The sequence below is a fragment of the Homo sapiens genome, chromosome 14, assembly GCF_000001405.40.
Source record: "Homo sapiens chromosome 14, GRCh38.p14 Primary Assembly".
Taxonomy (NCBI): Eukaryota; Metazoa; Chordata; class Mammalia; order Primates; family Hominidae; genus Homo; species Homo sapiens.
The window spans coordinates 30,267,217-30,277,268 of NC_000014.9; the positions used below are offsets into that span (position 1 = coordinate 30,267,217).

The window sequence follows — 10,052 nt, forward strand, 5'->3', positions numbered from 1 at the left end:
AGTTCCTTATTGAACCCCCCAAGAGAAATAAAGGCACAAATTTGCCTTAGAATGGATTCTTTTTTAAAACCAAGCAGGAATGATCATTACAAATTTAGCTGAAGAGTCATGCTTGGTCATTTCCTGTTTAACCTTAATCTACAAGAAAACCATGCATCCCAGAGATGGTTGGGAAGTCACCCTCAAGACAAAATGTTCTGGTTCCCCTCCTCTTGACTGTTGACATTTATGAATTAGCTGCAGTCTGTAGCTGAGGTCCAGAGCCACTCTGTTCCTGAAGGACTTTTATCCTCCTACCTAATCAGTGATTTTGTCGTCTGGACAGACATCAAGTTTGGGCAAAAAGGCTCACCAATAATGCATTCTATTTGGCTATAGGTGACAGCAGGAGCTAGTAAAGAAATCACAGTAGGGAACACAGCTGAGTGTGGGCATAACAAAATGTCCTTTATTTACAGGAGCATAACCTGTAATATGCAGTTTCAACATTGAGGTACACCAGAGCACGTCTAAAAGACTGCTGGTTCTGTAATGAAAATTTTGAGTGATTCCAAAGGTCTAGGGTCCTCTGTACTGGGTGATTATTATGAACTAACAAGGCAGTGTGATTATTCCACCTCAGAATAGTCATACAAATCAGTGGCGCACTTCTGCTTCTGCCAACATTTTCTGTCCAGGGCACTGTAGTTCACAACTGTCACAAAAGTACTTAGTTGCTTTCCTAGCTGAAAGTATGGCAAAAAAACCGAGCAATTTTGTTGTTCAAGAACTGGCTTCTTTATAAACTTCATCTCACTCAAACATCTCCCAAAGATCTACAATTCGTGGGTGAAATCCATTTGCCTCCTCCCTCCCCCAGGACAATTATGAGTTAACATGAAAACAAAGACTCAAAACAGAAATAAAACCTGAAATAAATCACTTGTATAAATGGAGAGATACAACTTGTCATATTAAAAATCTTATAGCCTAGTCTACAAAGAACAATCTTATCATTCTCTATCCTATCAGAAAAGATAGGTACATAAGAGGCTGACCAATTTATTATAAACAGGTCTTTTTATGCTAGACTGATTGCAGAGATGTTACTATAACGGAGAATTCTGAAGAGGACATTAAAATGCAACTACAACACCAAATGGAGTAGTTGATTTTTCGAGCTTTATTCAGACTGAATGTGACAGTTCTTTCTGCATATGGAAGTCCATGGGTGGCCATTAAATCAAACTGAGCATCTTACAAGCCTATTCATATTGACCAGAGTATGGCGGCTCATTTAACCAATTCTGCCAGTGCGTATTGCAGGGAGCTAGAGGGGATGTAAAGAGCTCTCCTTGATTACAATGCTCTCTGTGGGACCACAGGAGTTACCTACCAGCCCCCAACACTCAGAAATTCTGAACCAAGCAAATGACAGTACATTTTTCTTCAGCTCACATCCCTTCAGTGAGATTCAAAGTCAATCATATGAATACCAGTTTGTAATTTCCCCCTGCATTTTAGGGTTAAGAATTCCAAGGAGACCCCCAAATTTCTATGATGTTGTCCTGTTCCTTGGCACAAAGCTTGCTGTGACTCTACTGTGAAGGTGTGCCGTGAGCTGCAGTGGATATCCTGACTTCCCAGGAAATTGAAAAGAGCTGCAAGACTGGCTTTCTTGACAGCGAGTATCTATAAGCCTTTCCACTGTTGGTGAAGCAAGAGATTTCAATGTTCTTTTCCTTACAAAATTCCAAATTAGGTGATTCTCCCAGCCTGAAACTTTCTTGAGGCTCAGAATAGGGCTCTTACCTCTCTCATTTTCTCACCTTGATGGGCAGACTATGTCAGACTACTCTACAATTATAATTGCAATTGATTGTATTTCAGGTGAGTTCTGTAGAGTAGACAAGGAAATGGAACCGTTTGTTATGTTAAGAACTTAAAAGTTAAACAGAGCATATAGTCTCCATCAAAGAACCGCAGTGAGAAAATACACACCAACTCTATCCCTGCTGCCTCTATTGAACTCATTTTGGAAGATGCCTTTAGATAGAGTGAGTGACAGCCAAGTTTCGTACTTAGAGGATGAATTGTTTATGAAAACATCTTGAGTTCATTGATGATCAATTTTAATGAATTAGGTAATGAATTGATTGTCCTTGAAAATACTATTTGCATTTGAAAAAACAAAGAGATATATATTGTTACTATTTTTGGGACATATATATATATATATATATATATATATATATATATATATTTGTTATATATATTGGGACTATATTGTTACTATTTTTTCTTTTTTTTGGTGGAGTCTCACTCTGTCACCAAAGCTGGAGTGCAGTGGTGTGATCTCAGCTAACTGCAACCTCCACCTCCCAGGTTCAAATGATTCTCCTGCCTCAGCCTCCCATGTAGCTGGGATTATAGGTGCATGCCACCATGCCCAGTTAATTTTTTTGCTTTTTTGTATTTTTAGTAGAGACAGGGTTTCATCATGTTGGCCAGGCTGGTCTCAAAATCCTGACCTCAGGTGATCTACCCACCTCGGCCTCCCAAAGTGCTGGGATTACAAACGTGAGCCACCATGCCTGGCCTTGTGAGAGTTTTTTGTTAACTGATTCTGAAAACGGTTAGAAAACCTGCTTGAGAAAAAATGGTATGCAGCCACCCAAATGTCTGCTTCTTTAAAAAATACTTAAGGTCTTATATACTTCTTAAAAATTGGCCAGTGACCAAACTGCAGAATGCTTTACAACAAACAGCCACTAGTTCATACAGGAGACATTTATTGAGCACCTACAACATGGCAGCCAAACATCGTGTTAGGTTGGGGATCCAAAAATTTAAAAAACATAATCCTCAAGAGGATTATAATATCGTGAGGAGAAGGGCATGTGAATAAGCAATACTATAATGTCCTTGATATGGGGGAAAGTTGTACAAAGTGTAAGGACAGGATCGTAAGCAAGTCCTTAATAATAACAGCTAACACTCACTAGTACCGTCTATATTCCAGGCTCATACTACTAAATTACCTCATTTAATCCTCACAGGAACCTTACAAGGTGAGCACTGTTTCCGAGGGAATCAAAGATGGGTGATGTAAAGAGTGACAATCAGGCTGAGGCAAGGCAACGGGTTAGAGGGACACGACTGAGAAGTAGGCGTAGCTAATGAGCAATGTGCTGGGTAGAGTGGGATGAGAGCTGAAATGACGCTTAAGATACAGGCACAGGAAGGGACCAGTTCATTCAGTGCCTTGGTGACACCCGAAGGAAGTTTATCTTGTAGACGATGGGGAGCTGATGAAGAATTCTGAGCATTTATTTGGGCTTAATCCCGTTTAATACAGCCAATCAACTCGTGGGGGAGGCTCACAAAGACAAGGGTAAGAATTAAGTGCTGAGGTTGTCCATCGAGGCATCAGCAAAATGGAGGAAGCTGAAAGACCTCGGAACACAAGCGTTTTGCTTGGTCACTAAGCCTAGACAAATGTAAGTTTCCCCGCCCCAGCTCCCCTCAGCCTGTCACACAAAAGCGTTCACATCAGCAGTCGTCAGCGGCGATGTCAGGCGCCGTGTCGTTCTTCAAACCCTTGGGAAAGCTTTAGCTTCTCAAGCCAATTGCACTGCATTGTCAGTAGGGGTGTCCGTGAGCTCCCCCTCGTGGCTGAAGGCCAGCATCTCTGTTAGGCTTAACTGAGCCCAGTCTCCCTGCCTCTGAGCCTGGCCACTTCCCAGGCCAGACGTGGAGGAGACACTTGCCGCTCAGTGCTGTCCAGAGGAGCATGATGAAAATAGCTGGTGTCTTGGCTATCCTGGAAATCTGAGCGACTCCATTTAATTCTCCTACGAGGGCCAGGCGAGGTGGTCTTTGACTCAGCTTCAGCACTCCATGGAGGGCCCTTGGCCTAACCATGAGAACGAATTCCAGTTGCAACCAAAGCTTGTTTGTACAGTGAAATGAATAAATGTGTTTAAACCTAGGTTCTGACTTCTTACCAGTCTGTGTTGCTAAAATACCAAAGAGTAATTATAACGATATTTCTAGTTAACAATTTTTGTGTGTCTGCTATAACATTTAAATTAGACTAAATTCAGCTGTTTGAATGCCCTCTGACAATATTTTTTCTCTCAGCTCCATGACTGTTTTATCACTCCATACTCACTTGACCTAATCGGCACCATCCTGCACTCTGAAATGTTTATACTGTTAAATGAATTTTTAATCTAACTTTTACAGCATTCAATTTCAGTTTCATCAGCCATCCACAGTGTAATATCTAATGTTTTAAAATAATCTAGACAGTTACAAAAGGGGAGGGGGAGGGGGAAAATCGTCGTGTTATGAAGCAAATGATTAATTAAAGCAAATTAAATTCTGGCAGCTCTTGCTATCATTATCATGTGTTCCCCGACTAGACTAATAAATCTTTGTTGAGAATGTGTGCTTTCACAAGGTTCAAGAGTCACCTGGGAAAGGCCATTATTGACTAATATTTTTGTATTGCTGTTAGTTTTATTTTCTAATACCCTATAGAATAACAGCTAATCTTTCTCAAACATTTAGAGTGCATTCATAAATCCCACTTTGCTCACTCTTTAGAGGTAGGTTTGAGAGGGGGTGGGAAACAAAATGATTTCTCTGTAGATGCAAGTAAATTACAATTAAGCAATACAGCTAATATGTCGGCAAATGCTGGAAAACCTAAAAAACACTATACTTTGAGCGCCTGCTGCATAATGCCGTCATAGCTGGGGCACAGTCCTGGGATTTCAGCAGCTGCAAACCTTCTCCAAACTGCACAGAAAAGCAAGAACAGCACAGCTCTCCTCTATTTTAGAGGTTTGCCTTCTTTCCTTTCTTTCCTAGGATCTGGCACTTCCACATTGAGGCAAATAACAATGCCGAGGCAAGCCGCTCTCTCTAAATCCAACCAAATGCTGCTGCCATGCAAACTAGACAGTCTGCGTTGTTTCTGAAGGCACAGAAGGGAGATATTGACAGATATTTCAAGAAAAGAGCCACATACTTGCCTTTATTTAGACTGTTCAAAGTGCTGTCACTTAAATCAACCTTTAATAATTTTTTTCTGATCTCAAATATTGCAGTTTTAACATCCATACAATTCATTGCTTAATTTGTATGTTTTAAAGTATATTTCCTACAACTTTCCCATTTGCTTTTCCTCTAGTTTAACCAGTTGTGTCCTTTTCATCCAAATCCTAGCAAATGCCAGTATCAACTGTAAGCTCAGTTCTCCATGGTCTCCAGTTACTGCATGTCACATTGTCTTAAAACTTATGAAGAGAAGGCACAGATTTATTTGAAGTCTGTGATACTGTGACAGAAAAAAAAGAAACAGTTTTATAACAATAATGTAAATACCAGGTCTAAATTTATTTTGAGGTTTGTTAAATGGGGTGGGGGGAGCACAATTCCCAAAAGCGAAATTTCAGATTGTAATGAATAATCACATGCCACTAAATATTTGTGCTGGTTTTGAGACAGCGTGCCCCATAAAACTCCAAGATGTGGTCGAATGTATTAATGTTGCTCTAGACAATTCAGGTTTCTCTATGTATTTAACCTCCACCCCTGCCATGGCCTTGTTAATTTTGATTTCTAAGTGACTTGGGTACGACTACAAAAACTAAACATATGTTTAAATATGTACATACAGGCATTCCTTTTTTGCCCTTTCTAACTGCAGATTATGACGTGAGCTATGATTATCCATCAAAGTAATTTCCTCTACCCACTCCCTCTCTCATCCTCCCACCCTCCACATTTGAACATGCTTCTCTTTTCCTTGGGGCTCCTGTTCAGCTTTCTGCAGCACAGATCCCTGCTGCCTCGGCCGCCTGGAAAATAGCCTACAGTGCAGCTCAGTATGGCAGCACATCCCCACGGCCTGGGTGTTTTTCCAGACGGTTTTAGAATGATTCGGTATCGCATGAGTTAAAAAAAATTCCCCCTGGAAAAGCTAATTATTGCATGCAGATACTTCTTTGTGTGATCAAGGAGGGGACAATTTAATAGGCTCTGTAATACAACCAAGAACAAAATTGCTTTAAAGGAAGTCTCTTGTTGAGTGACAACTCTGTTGCCTGAGCCAATTAGGTCCCAATAAAGAGTGTTGAATTGGCTCCTGCTTTCTCATTAATTATGTTCTGTCACAGACATGGGGCTTGATTTAGCAATTTTGTATTACATTAAGATACTGAAAGGCCGGGAACAAATGGCTCACTCTGATAATAGGCATTCTCTACACGGTGTGACATTTACTATCCAGCTGTCCGTAAGGCAGCCTAGCACTTCAGTTCAGGGGTTTATTTGTCATTGCTTCAAAGGGACACTCAGCTTTTCACAAAAAAAGAAACAGAGAGGCTAATAGATAGGACAAAATGTACTGCTGATATGCTTTATTAGAGATAGGATGCTAGGGTTTTGCTAACAAGCTCATCCGTTGGGACTCAGCCGACTTTGCTGCCAATCATCCTCTACACAAAGGCGCACTAGTTAACAAGGAGAAATGAATTACAGACACTTATTCTGCCGGTGGGATCACAAATACACCAATCTGTGAAAGAGGCACAAACTCCAGAGACAAACTACATATTTGTCAATAACCTCCTAGAAAGAACCCTAGTAATTCTTTGAAGACCTTTGATTTAGCTTCCCTCTAAAATACATGTATAGGAAATGTTTTAGTTACCATGACATTCTTTCTTTGTTATTTGTACAAATTTTCATCACATTAAAAACAGAAAACTGAGGAGGTCTGCAAATGTTTTAGTAGGTATCTATACACTACTTTTCATATCCCACCACGGGGAGCTGCTGCTTTGGTTATTTCATTAAGAACAACAGAAAATTAAATCTTTAAACTTTAGGTTTGAGCTGTAATCCACCAATGCCACAGGAAATAATCTATAACTCTGAATTTATCGTGTATACCAATTAAGAGAGCAAGGTTAGGGACCGAATGAAAACCAAGTCTGTCTGCTTAAATAATTAGATGACTTTTAAATCATAAATATGTGTGTTTGTGTATATGTATATGAATTTACAATACAGAAACATGAACCTAAATCAATGTCTCTATATATTAAATATGGTGAAATATTTTATACATTGTATTTATGAAACTAAGCCAAATCTCTGACAGTAGCATTGATCAACATATTTGCCATTTATATTATTTAAACATTCTCCTGCAAATATATCACAGAGAAGGACCTATTGTTGATAACAAAAAAAAAAATCTTCAGCTGAAGCTTACCTACTGACCACATGAGATTAATCAAATCTGAATATGTCATTTCAGGTTAATTACAAAACAGCTCTCCAGAATAGTTCCTAGAGACAGTACACTGCATTCATCTGATTGCAGGCTGCATCAATTCACTTAATTTATTCTTCTGCCATCTTGGATGATAGCAACTTTAGGCTCAACTATGGAAGAGATGAAAGGATAAAGAGGACACAAGGATTTACAAGACTTCCTTTCCTCAGACAGAAACTCAAAGTATGTGAAGGCCTGTTGAGCTCAGTTGCAGCCTCAGGAAGAATAGTCCATCTCTCCTGCTTTTACTCTTTCAAGAGGCTCAAAGCATTCTCTTCCAATTGGTAAAGGCACCTCAAGGAGCAACATGGTGCCCCCGTAAGGAAGCTACTTTTCCTGAACTAGTCTTCTAGTTCAGGAACATGGATTCTCTGCCTCCTCTATTTGCCTATACTTTCCTTAATTCTTGGGTATCTGAAATTCTAAAGAATCCTATCTTTGTTGACTTACTAATGTAATAACTGCAGGAAAAGGTGGCCATGAAGCAGAGATGCAGGAGGTCTACTTGCTCTACCTGTGTGTAGGATACAACTCTTTCTTGTTCTGGTTCCCATCAGCAGAAAAGGATGAATAAACTAATCCATTTGAAGAAGGAGGTCTTAATATAACCCCTTAAACATTTTTTCCAACTTCTAAATCTTTAAAAAGTAATTTTTGATGAGGCACACTCCAAATCATCTCTTTTATTTTAAAATAAAGCCTTTATAATGTAAGAGAAAGAGAAAACAAAAATCATGTAAAAATACGGTGATTTTTTTCCCATCTCTTCACCCCCGCCCACAAGAAAACATCATATGCGAGAAAGAAGTTGCAATGTAACTTCTCAGCACCAATAATACCCAGGAATCATATTTTTTAAAAGCATGGATTGAACACAGACCTGGCTGAAAGAGCTTACAATCTAAGGGAACCATGAAGTCCTTTTTTTTCTCTCTCTCTCTAAAATTTTCCATGTTTCTATTTTAGAAAAGACTTTGTGGTAGGTAAATAATATACACAATAGAGGCAAGAATCATCTTATCCTCACTTAGTAGGGTCTTTATCTTCACTATTCAGGTACTCTATAAGGTTGAAATCTTTCAAAAAGCGATAGCCCCCCTCAGGCTGAAGCAAAGGTATTTATATAGACAATAAGTATTTATGCAGCAATTTATATTTTCAAAGCCTTTTGTAACCACTCATTAGTTCATCTAAATAATTTCTGTCTGAAGTATGTGAGTGCTTTGTTTCCCAGGCACAGAGAATCAGGTTCAGGGAGGTGACTGACATGCCCCAGTTAGATCCGACATAAGGAATGATTGTATCTCAGAATAGGTTTCCTAAGCATTTTGTGGAAACTTCTTTTCTTCAAGTCTTTAAAAATAGGTCAGAACTCTACTGAAATACTTTAGTTATGATTTTGTTGTGGTTTGTCTGTGGACAAAGTAACTGAGTAGGTGATTCCGGCTCTTGTAACCCTGGCTTTATATACTCTTGGGATGTTTATGACCACAGGAAGGCTCAGGAGCAGGCTGGAAATTGAGGGACAAAACTAATGTCTCTACCTTGGGGATTGAGTCTTGCTACCAATAAATACTATGAAGGGCCATTTGGGGAAACATTTTAAAAAATGCTTTCTTGGAAATATATTTCCATGGCCATGCCAAAGTAGATGTGGAGTGCAAACCCCACATGCATGATCATGTTCATCTCAAAAAACCCTATTCTGTTACTCCCTTTAGTTGCCTACTAATATGCTAATTCTACCTCTACTTCTTCTCTTAAGCTACTGTGGTAGCTGGACTCCAAAGATGGCCTCCATTAATTCCTTTCCTCTTCCTCTGCTCAAGTGTGGTCTCTAGCATTTGGGCTTCGTAGGACTGCTCTGACCACTAGATATGGTGAAAGTGATGCTGTCAACCCTCATTAAATAGTTTGGATATTGGTTCCTTCCAAATCTCATGTTGAAATGTGATCCCCAGTGTTGGAGGTGGGGCCTGGTGGAAGGTATTTGGGTTATGGGGGCACATCCTTCATAAATGGCTTGGTGCCTCCCCATGGTAATGAGTGAGCTCTGGTTCTGTTGGTTCATGCAAGAGCTAGTTGTAAAAGAGCATGGCACCTTCTTCCTCTTCCTCTTGTTCTCACTCCTACCATCTGACTTGCCTGCTCCCCCTCTACTTCTGCCATGATTATAGGCTTCCTGGGGTCTCACCAGAAGCTGAGCAGATGCTGGTGCCATGCTTGTACATCCTGCAGAACAGTGAGCCAAATAAACCTCTTTTCTTTATAAATTACTCAGTCTCAGGTATTTCTTTATAGCAATGCAAAATAGGCTAATACATCTCAGAACTATGAAGATAATAATAGTTATTTTAAGCCACTGTTTTAGAGTAACTTAAAATAGATCACCAGAATAACCACTATCAGTGTTGTCTTCTCCATCGCCCTATGTCACAGCTATGAGAGAAAGCTACAGGCTGGGATAAGCTAGCTTAACATAGAAGAATAGGGCTTCTGAGAATTGGCAGCATAGCACAAAGGACTAAAGTCAGTCTTGCGAAACCTTGGGAAAGTGATTTTACCTAAGTATCCAGTCTCCTCATCTGTGAAATGAGACTAATGATATTACCTCAAAAGATTATGAGGATTTAATGTCCTAAACGATGTTAAACACCTAACATAGTGCTAAGACAGGCAGGTCCTTAAGAGTTATTAATATTTTTATTATCATTACTGT

The 10,052-nt window shown here is 39.6% G+C and overlaps 3 annotated features.

Annotated features, from left to right (window-relative positions):
- Positions 3,277-3,778: an enhancer, noted in NCBI's record as "NANOG hESC enhancer chr14:30739699-30740200 (GRCh37/hg19 assembly coordinates)". NCBI's record gives its function as "activates a minimal SCP1, AML or CMV promoter by ChIP-STARR-seq in naive and primed H9 embryonic stem cells {active_cell/tissue: H9 hESC(naive and primed)}" and the evidence as "EXISTENCE:reporter gene assay evidence [ECO:0000049][PMID:30033119]".
- Positions 3,580-3,629: a silencer, noted in NCBI's record as "silent region_5646". NCBI's record gives its function as "represses an Ori minimal core promoter by ATAC-STARR-seq in GM12878 lymphoblastoid cells {active_cell/tissue: GM12878}" and the evidence as "EXISTENCE:reporter gene assay evidence [ECO:0000049][PMID:35858748]".
- Positions 5,328-7,204: an enhancer, noted in NCBI's record as "VISTA enhancer hs433". NCBI's record gives its function as "enhancer in: hindbrain (rhombencephalon)[5/6] | forebrain[6/6]" and the evidence as "EXISTENCE:transgenic organism evidence [ECO:0001131][PMID:17130149]".